This window comes from Homo sapiens, chromosome 3 (genome assembly GCF_000001405.40).
Source record: "Homo sapiens chromosome 3, GRCh38.p14 Primary Assembly".
Lineage (NCBI taxonomy): Eukaryota > Metazoa > Chordata > Mammalia > Primates > Hominidae > Homo > Homo sapiens.
Genome location: NC_000003.12, coordinates 72,240,879 through 72,257,323, shown reverse-complemented (window position 1 = coordinate 72,257,323; position 16,445 = coordinate 72,240,879). Strand labels below are relative to the sequence as shown.

Here is a 16,445-nt window from a genome sequence, read left to right as displayed (position 1 = left end):
GTTGTCTATTTGCAGCCTCTAAGAAGTGAAGTCTCCTGACTCATCCACATTTGAGTTTGGACATATGCTACTGGGACTAATGAATTTAGATAGCTTGGATGGTGGTCCAGTTTCGGGGACCCCCATGATGGGGGATGGTGTCTTTCGTGGTAAACAAGATATCTGACAGCATAAACAGCACAGGGAGGAGCTCTGGGTACTGTATAATGAATACAAGAAACTACCCTACCTCACAGTGGCATATGTGTTTTCTGGAAAGTCACAGCTGTCAACTGAAGGGGAGACATCTCTAAACTCAAATGCTTCAGGGGCTTAAGCAGCTTTGCTGTGTGACCCCTCTAAGTGAGTGTGATGCGGAGAGCATGTCATTCATTTCTTCCAGTTGATGATAGGACTTGCTGGCCACCGGGAGCTGGTGCCAGGAGAGATTTGGGTTTCTGGAGGATGGTGGATTTTCATCTCCAGCAGCACCAGCAAGGAAACAGCAGTTTCAGTGCAAAGAGCTGCGAAATCCCAGCCTTCCTAGCCTCATGGCACCTGGGTCTCTTTCACAGATACACGCAAGCAGTGTTGGAGCCGGAACTGGCCTCTAGAAATGTCGACCAGTTGTCATCCTCACCAGCAGACTACCGGAGTGTTTATTTCTCTTCTGCTTTCGCCAGCTCTGGACATTCTCACTAAAAAATAAAACAACAAATCCTGCATGGCTTTAAGAAGTCTCTTTATACATATGCATACATAGAAGCCGAAGGGTCCCGAAGCCATTCTGATTGGGCAACAATTTGGAAGACAAATGATGACAGCCACATTATGGGGCATGGCCAACCGACTGCCATCCTGCTTGAGAGGGTCCAGCAAGCTGCACACATTTGAATGTTCACTCGGGAGAGCGCTCCTCTCTTCCTCTTCAATTACCCAGCATGGTTACATGGTGCTTTTCACTCACCAAGCCCTGGAGGTTAATTACTCCACACGGTGCCTTTTACCAGCAGGAGGTGTGCCTTGGCAGTCCTCAGCCCTGCACGTGGCCTGCCCAGATGGGTGGCACATCCCGCCCTCGCTGGCTGCTGGGTTTCAGTTTGTTTTTGTTTATGTTGGCTCTGTTTCAACAGAGCCTACAGATGTGGTCAAACTGGAAAGGGGGTGGGGGACTAGAAGCAAAGGGGGGAAATAAAGGCGCCAATCATTTCTGATATCATCTGATCTGAGCAGAACTTTTTGAAGGGGGCAGTGAGAAAAGCCAGGCTTGGTCTGGGCCTCTGCTGCTTTCTATTTTCGGTCTCGTCTCCATCCCACCCAGAGAGTGGGAAGCCCAGGCACTGGGGCTCACCTTAAAGAGCCCGCGCAGAGCTTGCTCGAAGCAGCTCTGATTTCCAGGCCACAGGCAGGAACGGCTTGGCTCATTGGCCTCTTCTCCTCTTGGGGCTCCATGGGACTGGCTTAGTCCTAATGAGAGCTGGCAGACAGAGAGGAAGCAGGGTTGACAGAGAGCTGACTGCCCCTCCCCAGGCAGACTTTTCACCTGGCAGGTAAAAACCATCCCAATTAGCTGCCACAGCAAGGCTGAGCCTGGAGCTCACAGCCCATCCTGTCACCTGCCTTCCCTGGTGGCGGAAGCAGAAGCAAGACTGGGGGGCATGGTGGGTGGGTGGGGGGCTGTAGGCTGTGGGTGTGTGGGAGGACCCAGTTCCCGGAAGAGGCTGCACTTTCTCTGGGGTTTCCACAAAGCCCAGGAGATCTCTTCTGGGACAAACCCTTGCCCCAGCAGGCTTGGGGAGGGGCAATGAAAGAGTTAAGGCCCTCACTTCTTCACCCACCTCCCTGCTCCCCTATGACTGTTCCAGTGGCCCCCCCTTCCTTGTGGGGCTCCTGCGGCTTCCACAGGGAGCCAGGCAGGGCCCTGCCCTTGGCTACATCTGCCAAATGCAAATAGTTGCTAAAGTTATTTAGTGTGTCCTCACGGCTCCTTTTTGTCACTGGTGTTCCCTAGGCAACTGCTGCTGGAATGCAGTCAACTTCTAGAGGTTCTTCACAGGCAGGAATAGAAAATGGCTCTTGCTCACTTCTTGTTTGGGGGCTTCTCTGAGTGGATCCTTACATTGGGAACTAGAGTCCTTGTTTTTCTTATTTGAAAAGAGGACAGCGAGAGAAAGCTGACCAAACTGCCCTCTAGAAGTGGAGGAGGTGGAAATTCAGGGTCCCTTTGCTACTTTCGCTGGATGGAGGTGACCAGGGCTACAGAGAATGGCCTTCAACATGTTTATTTCCTTCTGCCAAGACCTTCCCACAGGAGCGACCTTCCCATAGAGCAAGAGAGGTTTCTCTCTTCTTTCTAAAGATTATACAGATCAGTCAACTTTATCTTAAAGCTATATTTCTCATATAAGCAAAACATTTCTTATAAAAAGTTGGAAAATACAGATAAAGTATAAAAAAGGGAAAAATCTCTATACACATTTCCCATAATCCCATCATCCACAGATGATCACTATTAACATTTTGATTACATGCTTATATTTGTATAGACGTCTTATACAAATTACCCCCAAACCCAATGGTTTTACAGCGGTTCTCAAACATTTTTGGTCTCAGGACACTTTTACACTTGTAAAGTCATTAAGGACCTCAAAGAACTTTTGCTAGGTCAGCTATATCTATCAATATTTACTGTATAGGAAATTAAAGCTGAGATAATTTTAGAATGAAGAATGCACACACATGTATTCTATTAACTGTCACAGCAATAATGTTATTACACATCATATAACCTATGGGAAAGTCCACTGTACACTCTTGAGAGTGAACAAGGCAAATAACATGTTAGTAGTATTAGCAAAAGAGTTTGGACTTTGCAGATCCTCTACTAGGGCCTCAGGGACTCCCCAGGAGTTCCCAGATCCCAGACCATGCTTTGAGAACTGCTGATTTTAAAACATTTAGAATTTGCTATTGCTTATGAGACCTCTGGTCAGCTGGAGGGCTCTTCTGATCTTGACTGAGCTCATTGGTGTATCTATAATCAAGTGTGACAGGTGAGTGGCTCTGCTGAACTTGGTGACTCCCTTATGTATTTGAGGGTTAGCTGGTTAGAGTCAGATCGAAGATGGCCTCAGTTGAGACTGCTAAGCTCTCCTCCATGGGGTCTCTCATCCTCCAGTAGGCTAGGCTGGGTTTGTGCACATGTCAATGTCAAGATTTTGAGAGCTGGAACAAGAGCAAGAGTGAGAAGGCAAGGTGGGTGGGGAGGGGGAAGAGAGAGAGTCTGAGAGAGAGAGAGAGAGAGAGAGAGAGAGTGCAGGAGTGCTCATGGCTTCTTGAGGTCTAAAGACAGGAGCACTGACTGTCAATTTCTCTATATTCTATTGACCAAAGTGACTCGCATGGCCAGGAGGTGCAAAATAGACTCTACCTCTTTTTGGGAATTGTGGCAAAGTCACATTATAAGGGGCATGGATAAGGGGAAGGGAATAATTGTGGCTATTTTTGCAGTCTACCACATACCTTATGTTTGCTTAATGGCTGCATTATTTTCCACTGAATGGACATGCTATAATTTATTCAGTCCTGATTGCTGGACATCAAGGTTGATTTTAATTTTCTCCTAATATGAATGAGGCTAGAATGAGCATTCTTGTGCATGAATTCCTAGAAGGGAAATTGTAGCAATAAAAGGTATGAGCTCTGTTAAGGTTCTCCATCCATTCTGCCAAATCTCTCTCCAGAGAGCCCGCACCAGTTTATGTTCTCACCAGCAAAGGAGGAGGAGACTGCCTGTTGAGAGACTGATTTCTGCAAGTGTGTGTGTGTGAAATCAATCACTTGTTAAAAACTGTTCTTTATGCCAAGTGTAGACAAGGCCTGTGGTCCTCAGTAATTAATTCTGCGGAGTGAAGAGCTACTCTTCAGCCTCCTTCACAGAAATGGCCACAGCTTGAAGAGACTGCTGGGGAGGAGGCTTGTTGGTAGACTGCTGGTTCTGAGTCCATCTATGGGCATCACTTTCCTTTCTAGACCCTCACTGGTCTTAAATAGTTATTTGTTAGAGATTCAAGATGCATCTCTTCCCAAGAGAACAAGAACTATCTTTTTTTTCTTAAAAAATAAAAAAAGGTAATCAAGAGTGCTAGAAATAGGGGACTGAGCTCAGGAATGGAGTCCTTAGCCCTTGGTGAAACAGTTTGACCTTGGTTGTGTGATGGTGAGGCTCTGTGTATGGGCCAGTTGACTGAGGGCAGAATCCACAAATCTGAAGTTATCCCTGTGTGCCTTACCCACTGATATGGTTTGGCTGTGTTCCCACCCAAATCTCATCTTGAATTGTAGCTCCCACAATCCCCATGTGTCATGGGAGGGACCTGGTGAGAGGTAATTGAATCACAGCGGGGGTCTTTCCCGTGCTGTTCTTATGTTAGTGAATAAGTCACATGAGATCTGATGGCTTTATAAGGGGGAGTTTCCCTACACAAACTCTCCTACCCGCCGCCTTGTAAGACATGACTTTGCTCCTTGTTTGCCTTCTGCCATGACTGTGAAGCCTCCCCAGCCATATGGAACTGTGAGTCAATTAAATCTCTTTCTTTTATAAATTACCCAGTCTCTGGTATCATCATTAGCAATGTGAGAACAGACTAATACACCCATTCTTCCCACCTTTTCACCCCATGATTCCTAGTGTCCACAAGTCAACAAACTGCTTAGTCCACGTGGCCCTGTATGTTGTTTTGCTTTATTTCTTACCATGCCCTGTATATCTTCTTGGCCCTACGGTGCTTCAAGCCCCTGCTCACTAGTTTCCAGAATAAACCCTGTTGAATCATTTTCACCTGGCACCTCTGCTTCTGCTGTTCCCTCAGGCAGAATTCCTATTCCAACCCTCTCTTTTTTCCATTCTTCATCTAGCTAATTAATAAGCATCCTTCAAAACCCAGCCAAAGGAACTCCAAACGTTCACCTGTGAGGGTGTGTTGAGACTCCCAGTCCCTGAATTGACTCATCTAGTAACAGCAGCTCTGGAGGAGATGTGGGAGCCCTGGTTCTTGCTTTATCCTAGCTGTGTGACATTTAGCAAGGCAAGTGATCTCTCTGTGCTCCAGTTTTTCTCTTCTCTAACATGAAAATGACCTTAGACTCATGTTTCATTTCCAGTTATTGCATTAATAGAAGTATGTGACATTATAATTGCTACAAATGCAAAACAAGTGTTTTTTTGTTTTTTTTTTTTAAAGTCCTACCTTATGTTCCCTTGAAAAGCAGAGGATAAGACAAGGGCTTGCATGCAGATAATTTCTTTTGAAGAAGTGATTTTTGGGAAAAGGTGTTGGGGGCTAGGGGAGAGGGCAACAGGGATTGCAGTCCAATTTAGGTGCATTAATGAATCCGACACCAATGTGGGCATGGGTCCCTCTGAGGAGCAGTGGAGAATGCACCTCAGCATGCTCTACTCAAGACATAGAAGACGGAAATATTTTTCCCTACACAGGTTAAATTTGCTCCTGCGGTTTGTACCCAAAGTGTTGCTGGGGTGGGGCAGCAAATGGCCAAGCAGGTCTCTAGGGCACCTACGCTGCAGCAGAGAAGCCCTAAAGAAAGCAAGAAACACTTTGTGTGGATGAAGTGAAGCACTCTTGGGTTGCCACAGCTCTGGCAGAAGTGGGCTGTAAGAGTGTGAGATGGTGCATAAAAGACGTCGGGCCCAACGCTGAAGTCTACATTTGTCATCCCTGAATCCTGACCTCTAAGCACCGTGCCTGGCTTGGAGCAGGCATTAATCCACATGGTAAATGTGGAATGGAGGGAAAAGTTCCTGTTGTATTTGTTCATGGCTCTCAGCCACTGGTTACAGTGGGGAGATGTTTATCTTCTACCTTTTCTTATTCTATGGTGCTCATGTCTCTTTGGGGACTGGAAGGAGAAAGTGCTCTGCTTATGGAATGAGGTTGGTCAGGCTGACCTCAGTGAGGAGGTTGGGTTAGGTGAGGGCTTTTTCAGTTGTATACTCCAGGCACCTTGTGGAAAAAGCTGCAGTGTTGGGTAGGGTGACCTGGGTGGATCAGGAAACATTTCTTCTTCCTTTCCCATCTCCCATCCTTCCTTTGTTCCTTGTGCTCCATTTACTCTGAACCTAATACCTGAGAATCATCTGAAATAGCAGCAACCAGCCTTTGCAAAGCATGGCATTTGGCAAAATGTATTCTATGGAATTCCAGTTCTGTTCTCCTTCTCATCAACCAGAGCGGTTCCACTTTTGCCTCTTTTATATCCTGAGATTGCATGTATTTATCAGTTGGGAATTGGGTGCAAGCAACAGAAACCAACTTCTTTAACTAAAAAGAAAAGAAATCTATTGAAAGTGTTATGCAAACCAGAGGTCTATGGCCAAAGAAGTTTGGGAAACAGGGAGTTGAGCAAAGTCCATAGGTCTATCTGTTGGGGGACTTCTCAGGATCTTTAGTCTGCTAATAAAAATCTCCAAGAGAGAAATATCTTTTGCAAAGTTTTCCAAATTCATTACCTCAATCCCAAGACGTGCTGATTGTAAGATGCAGCCACACTTTAATAATAGCCTTCCAGGGTTCAAACCAAAAAGGAACACTATCACATCAGGTGTGCAAATTGATTTTAAGAAGCAACCTGATTTCATAACTTTGTTTATTTGTTTTAAGGCAACATATGCAGAATACTTACCATGTGCCAGACACTATTTTAAGAGCTTTTATATAAAATGACTGACTTAATCCTGTCTTTTGAGGTGGATGTGGGGCCAAGAGGGGCCTGAGAATGCACTTCTCAGATCTCTTACTGCAAGAGCATAATTGACCAAGGGCCCTGGTTGCTGCATTCTAAATCCACCTCCACACTGGGCAGGGGCCTTGCTTTCACAGGCTGCTCTCAGTCAATAACTGAGCACATCAGGAATACTGATGTAGGTCCCTTCCAGGGAGACGCAGGGCTCCTTTGATGGTTGACTTTGACTCAAAAATTCCTCAAAACTTTGCCAAAAGTTTCTTAGAACTGCACTGCAATATAAGGCTATTTCTACCCAATCTTTCTTCCTTCCCTTTCCTTTTTTGTAGGAATTAGGTCTACATAGAGGTTTCACAACTTTTCCAGCCTCCTCCTGCTTCTCCCCATACTCTTTCACAGGTGTTTCCCCAAACAAATTTCTTGCACATCTAATCTCATCTTGAACTAACACAGTTGGATCTTTTATTTCATTTCCAGTTTACAGATGGAAAGTTGAGGACCAGAATGGTTAAGTACCTTGCCCAAGATCAGATGGCTAGTAAGTGGCAGAGCTGTTAATCAAACCAAGGTAGTCAGATTTCAGAGGACTTGTTTTTATTCACTTCATGACACAACCTTGCATTTACTATTAATACGTGAAAAAGGAAGAAAGTGCATCTTCGGATCTAGAAAATTAGAGATTTTATTAAGGGACTCGTTGTTTTTAAAACTTTTATCTTAGGCTCAGGTATACATGTGCAGGTTTGTAATATAGGTAAACTCGTGTCACAGAGGTTTGATGTACAGATTATTTCATCACCCAGGTACTAAGCCAATAGTTATTTTTTCTGATTCTCCCCTTCCTCCCACCCTCCACCCTCAAGTAGGCTCCAGTGTCTGTTGTTCCCCTCTTTGTGCTCATTGATTCTCATCATTTTGCTCCCACTTATAAGTGAGAACATGCAGTATTTGGTTTTCTGTTCCTGCGTTAGTATTGCTAAGGATAATGGCCTCCAGCTCCATCCATGTCACGATCTAATTCCTTTTTATGGTTGCATTGTATTCCATAGTGTATATATACCACATTTTCTTTATCCAATCTGTCATTGATGGGCATTTAGGTTGATTCCATGTCTTTTCTATTGGGAATAGTACTGCCATGAACATATGCGTGCACATATCTTTATGATGGAGTGATTTATATTCCTTTGGGTATATATCCAGCAAAGGGATTACTGGGTTGAATGGTAGTCCTGTTTTTAGGTCTTTGTGGAATTGCCACACTACTTTCTACAATGGTTGAAGTAATTGACACTCCCACCAACAGTGTATAAGCATTCCCTTTTCTCCATAAGCTCACCAATCTGTTATTTTTGACTTTTTAAAAGTAGCCATTCTTACCGGTGTGAGGTGGTACCTCATTATGGTTTTGATTTGCATTTCTCTAATGATCAGTGATATTGAGCTTTTTCTCATATGCTTGTTGGTCTCATTGATAAGAACAGATGTCACACTTGATCTTAGCCAAAAAGCTGCGAAGCAATGGGACTCATTTTTTTTTACAGAGCATCTTGTCGGTGCAGGATGCTGGGAGCTATGCCTTGGGAAATGCTGGCAGAGTACTTTGAGATGTGTATCTGTCATTATGACCTGAGGGGGTCATGGTACCAGTATGCCTACATAGGCCAGAGGACTGGAAGAGCAGAGATGGGGAATGGGTCTGATGCCATGAAGGAGCCCTCCAAGGCTGTCTGTCCTGCTGTTGCTGTTTATAGTGACCTGGGAGAAGTAAAGGAGAGACCACTTTATTCCCTTGATCTCTGCATGGCCCCTGAGCTTCACTGTGGTATCTCCTTGTCTCCCATATTCTGGCAAGGCAGCTACCATGGTGTGGTAGAAAGGCCGTGGCTCTGGGAATAGAACACCATCAGTAAGCAGTGCTGAGATCTTGGCAAATCAGCAGACTTCTCTTGCTTCTCTTTCCTCACCTCTACAAAGAGGATGGGATGAGACCAAGGGTTTCACATTAAGCTCTTTGAGGCCTTGGTGGCACTCTGGAGATAACAGGGAGGCTATTGTTAGGGGTATGATTCAAGGGAGGAGCTCTTGCTCACTCTTCCCCATTTCAATAGAGTATCTCTATTTTTATCCATTTTAAATATTAGGGTTCTGTGAGTATCAGTAAGCATTACTGGTTGCTAGCTGTAGAAACAGACTTCCCTACCCAGAGAAGGAAACTAATTAAAAGGACGGTAGAGGTAGAGAGAGTTATTCAAAGATTAAATAAGATGCTGGAGGGCCAGGCTTGGGGTTGGAGGAAACAATGCCAAGAGAGTTCTGAAAAGCTGGATTGGGAACCCCAGCAGGTGGGCATGCTGCCATCATGCAGGCTGCCTTCCAGCCAGACCATTAGCCTTGGCTTTCTTGTTAAGACTGAATCTAGGGAGAAGGCTTTCAGTGGGCTGAGCCTGCCTCTGGGGCAGGAAGAGAAGCCATGACCTCTTGGACTTCCAAAGTGGGCAGTGGTCACCCAAAAATCTTTCCAACCAAGACCTCACAAAGAGTCATGAGGTGTTTTTCTAAGAAGTAAGCCAGGTTCTCTAGGAAAAAGGAATAAATGATCAACAGTCCCAAATAACAAATATTCACTCTATCCATATGATTCTATTGGCAGAAGAGTTCTATTGTACATTCATTTGGAAGGCATCAGGCTAAGGGCCCTTCCCACATGACAACTAGAGAAGTTCATCCCATCCAGCTGTTCAGTCTCCAGCCAGGAGAGGAGGGGGCAGGAACTCTCTGGCTTCTTGACCACAGAACTGCCCCACATGCCACTGTAAGCCCCAGTTCTCCTGACAGCTGGTGGGGAGACAGCAGGAAGACCACTGCCTTGGCTTGGGTTACCCCAAGAAAGCAGAGCTACAGAACAAAGGCTTGCATGCAGGTAGTTTATGTTGTCCTCACAGACTGGAGACAGGGCAGGAAAGAAAGCAATGCAGAATATGTTATTGAGCCGATCATCACTGTGGACCATGGGGCTCAGGGCTGCCAGGACCCTCTGAGAAGCCACGTAGAAGAGTCCTAAGAATTGTCTAGCTGAAGAACAGAGAGGGAAGTAATTGTATACTGGCTCCTGCCCTCCATGGGTCAAAGATTGCCCATGATGTGTTGGGTTTGGTGTGTTGGGTTTGGGCAGGCAGCAGAATAGCAGAGTGCGTTCCTGCATGAAATGGCAGCCGGGAATCCCCAGTGTGAAAAGTGAGAGATGTGGGCACACGTGATGGCTGCAGCATCGGCTGGAGGCAAAGCGTGGGTGGGGAGGGTGGAAGGCAGGGCACCAGGGGCGTTCAATGCAGCAACCCCTTGGCTACTTTCCTCTGCCTCATCCCTCTTTGAGGGACACAGGCACATGATGTGCCTGATATTCAGGTCGCAGGAGGCTTCTGCATGGTTTGCTTGTTGGCTGGTGGGCATTCCAGCCAGTGAGGAAGGGGTCACCTTTGACTCCACACAGCATGGCATCTCTCAGAGTTTGGGGACCGACATTTCATAAGGGACCTCACCCTGCTTCCCAGCATCTCTCCCTTCGAGTCTGTATATTCATCCAAAGGCAGTCTGTATTCCAAGAGGGAAATCTGCCTCCTGCTCACCCTACAAGCTGGCTCTGCCCCAAGGGTGAGGTTCAGTGTGCGGCAGCCAAGGGCCTGCAGTCAATGGGGACAGAAAGGGAGCCTGTGCCATGCTCGGGCCAGGGCAATGGAGGCTTGAGCAGGCAAGGTCCCGGCTTTTGCGCAGGCTGCCTGTAGAAAGGGGGAGAAAGCATGCCTGCAAAGCTGGCTGGGCCTTGGCCAACCTGTCCAAACCTCTCAGGAGGTTTGTTGCTTGAACTGCAGTATCTGAGGCCTGCAAATGGGCCTCACCAGAGGCTTGAGATATTTTTATGAGTTTTTATTTCTAACATCCATTCGCCTCTGGCTCCCTTGCCAGTTGACACGGGTCAGACTCTCTTGTGACATGACTCTTCACGGCACCAAAGGCCCAAGCCTTGCACTGTAACCCCTTGGTGGAAGAGATTGCTATGGTTATGATTTTATTTTCAGTAAGTGTTCATGAATAATCTATTCCACTTACCAACACTTATCAGATCCCAGGCACTGTGCTAAGGACTTAACATACCTTCTCTCATTTTTCCCTACATAATTCCCTACTCATCCTTTGGATCTTAATTGTCCCTTCCTTGGGGAACATCTTCCTTGACTTGGTCACCCCTGCTCCCCCCATGCCCTTATTATGTGCTCTGATTGCACCACAAACCTTCTGCTTGAAGTACCTATCTATCTCTGTTGACATTTTACTTTTATTCGTGTCATTTTTTTAATTCACGTCTGTCTCCCATGCTGGAAGAAAAGTTGGTGGCCCATGCTCACCACCACATCCCACACCTAACACAGGGCCTGCCTGGCACATGGGAGACACTCACTAAAATGCATATGCAAAGAAACAATGATGGACTATCTTTCTCAGAACCCTACAGAGTATATTTTACACTAAGACTCGGAGAGGTTAAACAGCCGGCCCAGGGTCACATAGCTGGTAAAGGTAGAGGTAAGATTTAAATGTGTGTTCATCTGGCCTCAAAGCCAGGACTTCACTAGTGTGCTCTGCAGCCTTCTAGCGTTCAAGGGTATTTTCTCTCTTCCCCTGCCTGGTCCCACCTGTGAAGGGCAGAGGGGTCCTGCCCCAATCTCTGGCCCTCTCGTTTCACCTCCTGCCCCTCTCACTAGGGTCCTGACTTCCGCCCTCTGACCCTTCCAGCTGTGAATCCTGTCCCTTGCAAATGCGTCTGTTGCCATTCAGCAGTCTCTTGGCTGGCAGTGCAGGTCTCCATCTGCTGTAATGGCATGGTGCCTGCTCACAAGATGGCATGCTATTTTTACCCAGCTTAGGTGCCAAGCCGGCCAGATGTTTTTCAGCAGCAAAGGGAGGTTGAGCATTGCTGGGGTGTGGAGGGATGCTTCCAAATGTCAGCTCCTCAGTGGGGCTGGGGCAAGGGATGGCTCTGGGACAGGCAAAAGAAGCGCTCTGCCTGGAAGTGGGCACCTCCAAGAAGTGTCATTCCTGGCATCTGTCTGGGGCTCTGGCAGTGTGCCAGGAACTGGCTGCTGGTTCTGAACTCTTGCCGGGCTGGGATGAGTCTACTGCAGGAAGGAAATGCTCTGGGTCAGCGTTCCCAGTGAGTGCACGTGCTTCTTCCTCCCACTGGGGCCCTGGAGTCGCTGGACCCAGATGGTGACACCTGGAGGGCTTCCATGGCTGAACTGGCTGCTTGGAAAATTCCAAGTTTGGCTGGCGGCTCTGGTCTGGAGGAAATGGAGGAGCTGGCTGGATCAGGCTGAGTCCAGGCATTTGCTGTGATCATTTTTCCCTCAGAGCAGATGGAGCCAGAGGTCTGGCGATCTTAATCCCTGCTCTCTCCTTCCTGTGGGGGGTGACCCTCAGTTGAGAAATACCCCCCCAAATGACAGCTAGATGCAGGGGTGTGCGGCATAGCCCCGCTGGCCCAGCTCCCTGTTTTCCTAACTTCTCCACTCCTGTGTGACCTTGAGCAAGTCACATCCTCTCTGAACCTCAGTTTCCTCATCTGTAAAACATCCAGAGCCCCTCCCTGCCAGATCTGGGAGCCTGTATTGCAGTGAGTTGCAGGGAATCAGTTGTTGCCAAGCTTTGCTGACCTTTCCCCAAAACCAGCCATCCTCAGACCTGCCATGGGAGACGAGCAAACTCTGCTCTTCTGCCCTGATGTGTTCAAGTTCCATATCTAGATGCAAATCCCATTTCCTCCCCCAAGGAAACATTTCAGAAACCTCAGACCCCCTACAAGAGGCTGCCTCCAAGTCCAGGCTTCCGGACAAAAGACCCCCTTCTCCATGAAGGATGGGAGTGCATGTGGAGAGAGAGGAAATGTTTGCAGCTGTGGCAACCCGGCTGAGATAATCAGACTTCAGGGAGGGGTTCTTGAGGCCTAATTGAACACAGCAGTCTGGCAGTGCTGGGTACAGCCCAGGAGACGTCAGCCCTGGATGGGCAAGGAGGCCAGGGCTTCTCAAACTTGAATGTGCATCTGAGCCACCTGTGCATCTCATTCCAAGGCAGATGATTCAGTCGGTGCAGGTGGGGCCTTTGCATCTATGCGGTGGGCAGAATAACAGCCCCTCAAAGATTTCGCTTCCTAATCCCCAGGACCTGTGAATATGTTGGTTTACATGGTTAAGGGACGTTAAGTTTGCAGATGGAATTAAGGTAGCTGAGTGGCTGACTTTGAGATGGGGAGATTATCCTGGATTATGCAGGTGGGCCTGGTGGAATCACTGGGTGCTTATGTGGAGGAGAGGGAGGCAGGAAGAGAGGTCAGCATGAAAAGGACTCAACCTGCTCTTGCTGGCCTTGAAAGTGGAGGAAGGAAGTCACGAGCCAAGGGATGCAGGCAGCCTCTAGGTGCTGGGGAGAGCAAGGAGGTGGATTCTCCCCCCAGAGCCTCTAGGATTGCAGATTTGAGATCCTGCTGACACCTTGATTTTTGCCCAGTGAGACCCATTTCAGACTTCTGAACTACAGAACTTTAAAAGAACACATTCATGTTGTTTGGAGCTACTAAGTTGGTGGTAATTTGTGACAGGAACAATGAGAAACTCCTACAGTCCACATTTCTGCCAAGCTTCCTGGTGGTGCTTCCAGGCCACACTGTGAGTAACAAAGCTTCAGGCTGCCTGAGGGTGGGGCTTCTTCCTAGGCCAGGTGAGGACCTGGAGGTGGGAGAAGGCTGTTCAATGGCTTCCATGAAAGCTGGCTTTTGACACTGTTTTGTCTCTGTCCCTTCGTTCCTCCCCACACGATTGTTGGAGGTCTCTTGGTTGTTTCTTACTATGTTCCAAGTCAGGAGTTCCTGGTTTGTGGGCTGGGAGTGCTGGGGGAGTTACTGTAAAGGCCCCTGTTCTCCTGAAGATGAGCACTGTCTGTTACCCAAACAAATGAGACCTCAAGTAAATTGCATTTCTTTTGTTCAAATGAATGCAGGTGCCACGAATAGGACCCCACTGGTGGGGGGTGGTTTAGAAAAGAGGCTCTGTCCTTTGGCTAAAATCTAAGCTCTATAAGCACCCAGGTGTCCCTGTGTAGTCTGGACCCTCCCTCCTCCTCCCAGCCCACCTGGCTCTTTTCCCCTCATCACACATAAAGCTCCAGTACCAGTGGTTTCTTCCATCCTTGAACATGGGTCCTTTCTGCCTTGACAGACTCAGGGGCCTCCTCTTCATTCTCTGGACTTGGGTTAAGAGCTGCCTTATCAGAGGGGCCTTCTCTGACCACCCTGAGAGAGAATGGCTCACCTGATACTCTTTCTTAGTGTTCTGGGTTAGTGTCCTTTATTACAGTTTGTGGCTGTGTATTTATTTGAGGGCTTTGCCCACCGCCTGTCTATCCCTTTGGATTAAGCTCAGTGAGGGCAGGGCCTGAGCATTTTGTGTCCACCCATGCCCGGCACATTCAGCATGTGTCATGTGCTTAATACAAATTTGTTGACCAGGGAATGAATGAATGAATGAATGTACATCTAAGCCCTCATGCGGAGAATTCCAGAGTTTGTCTTCTTTCCTTGATGCTCTGAGCCTCCCTTCTGGACCGCTTCTGAGCAGTCTCCTAGACTGCTTATCCCTCTCAGAAAATAGGAGCCCTGTCGTTGACAAAATCGGTCCCTGCTTTCCTTAACATTTCCCCCTACCTTTTTTGTCTCTCCTTCCCATCTCCATTGTTTATCTCTGCCACAAGGAGCATGGTCTTTGCTGCTCTCTTCTCAGTTTGATTGGTTGCCTCCTAAAAGGAAAAAAAAAAAGTTGCATTCTTGGTGCCTGGACATCCTTTCTCCCATTTTAATCGCGAGTCAGTAGGGCTTTTGTATGGGATGAAGCTGAATACTTGTATTTACTTTTGTTTTATTCCCAGAGTTTTTCTTGTTCATGTGAGTGCTGGCAGCTGCCAGAAGAAATATTCTGTTTCTGGCCTCCCATCTTGGTGGGGGATGTGCAGGCTGAGAACACAGGAGCTGACTTCTATTGTATCAGCTGAGACTGCAGGGTAGACTGCAAGAAGTGCCTCCTTGCTGATGGACTGGTGAGACAGCAAGATGCTTCCTCAGGCTGCCAGGGAGCAGTTGTCCCTGGAGAGGTCTGGGAGAGACATGACCCTGCTGTGTGGGGCTGGAGGCAGGGGGTGGGCAAGATCCAGACATGAAGAGCCTGGGTAATGGCTGACTTGAGTTTACTCTTTTTTTTTTTTTTTTTTTTTTTGAGATGGAGTCTTGCTCTGTCACCTAGGCTGGAGTTGGAGTGCAGTGGTGCGATCTGACTCACTGCAACCTCTGCCTCCCGGGTTCAAGCGATTCTCCTGCCTCAGTTCCTGAGTAGCTGGGACTACAGGTGTGCACCACCACTCCTGGCATATTTTGTATTTTTGATAGAGACACTGTTTCACCGTGTTGGCCAGGCTGGTCTCAAACTCCTGACCTTAGGTGATCCACCCGCCTCGGCCTCCCAAAGTGCTGGGATTACAGGCATGAGCCACCATGCCTGGCCAAGTTTACTCTTTATACTTTTCTTTATTGGTGACATTTTCTACCACGAGTAGGAATTATCAAAAGTCTCATATCTGTATAGATGAGAAAATGGAAACTGAGAGAGGTTTAACTTGTTCATGGTCATACATTCAGAAGAGTGAACTCAAGTCTGTCAGACTCCAAATCTTAAATATTTCTTGCTGCCCACCACTTCCTCTTGTGCACCTGAAAACTTTCCACTATGCTCTACAGGTATTTGTGTATATACGTTAATTCCTAAAAAGAGATGTTTAGATGTGGCTTGGTGGATCTAGGACTGCTTCCTGGAGGAGGTGCAGTGTTTGCATGTGTGTAAAGGCTGTGTAGTGCCCATTTGAAGTTTGTCTTCTCAGCATCCATCCCTCCTGCTTCCAGCAATAAGGACTAATTTTGGTTGGTGGCAGGGTAGATGCACCCTTCACACATTTTCAGTCCTTCTTGTCTGGGTAGGGCCCTAAGCCCAGCTCCAGGGGTGGCATATAGGGCCTGAGCCTAAGTCAGTCGGTGCATCCCATCCCTCTGGCCATAGTGATTGGTTCAAGGATGGGGATAGATCCTAAGCGGGTTCAATCAGAGCAAAACTCAAAACTTTTGAGGGAGCTGCCAGAAAATGTTTTATTTCTATCCAGCTGGAATTAAACTTGGGAAGACGTGAGGTTGACAGTTTGGTAGCCATACTGTCAACATAAGAGAAGACTCTGGAGTGGAAGGCCGAGCAGGAAGATGGATAAAAATTGAGTCCTAATGTCACAGTTTTATCCTTGATCCAGCCATGCCTGAAGCTGGACTTACCTTTAAACTTTTCAGCTATATGAACCCATAAATTCCCTTTTTGTTTGCTTAAGTCTGCTTGAGTTGGTTTTTCTGTCACTTTTAATGGTAAGACCTCTGGTTGATACAGGCAAGGAAGAAATGGCAGCACATTGTAGGTTGGGGACAGCAGTACAAAGAGAAGCACATGGCTACCTGGGAAGTGTGATCATGAGGAAGTCTCATATCTCAGCAAGTCCATCATGTGTATCCAGCTGGAGAAAAAAACGAATAGAATACACTGTCTTGGGATATAGTAAGACAG

General features: G+C 47.2%; 1 annotated feature.

The window, feature by feature from the left end:
- Nucleotides 15,005-15,212: a silencer, noted in NCBI's record as "fragment chr3:72291263-72291470 (GRCh37/hg19 assembly coordinates)". NCBI's record gives its function as "represses an EF-1alpha promoter that drives an FKBP-Casp9 reporter gene in an ReSE screen in K562 erythroleukemia cells {active_cell/tissue: K562}" and the evidence as "EXISTENCE:reporter gene assay evidence [ECO:0000049][PMID:32094911]".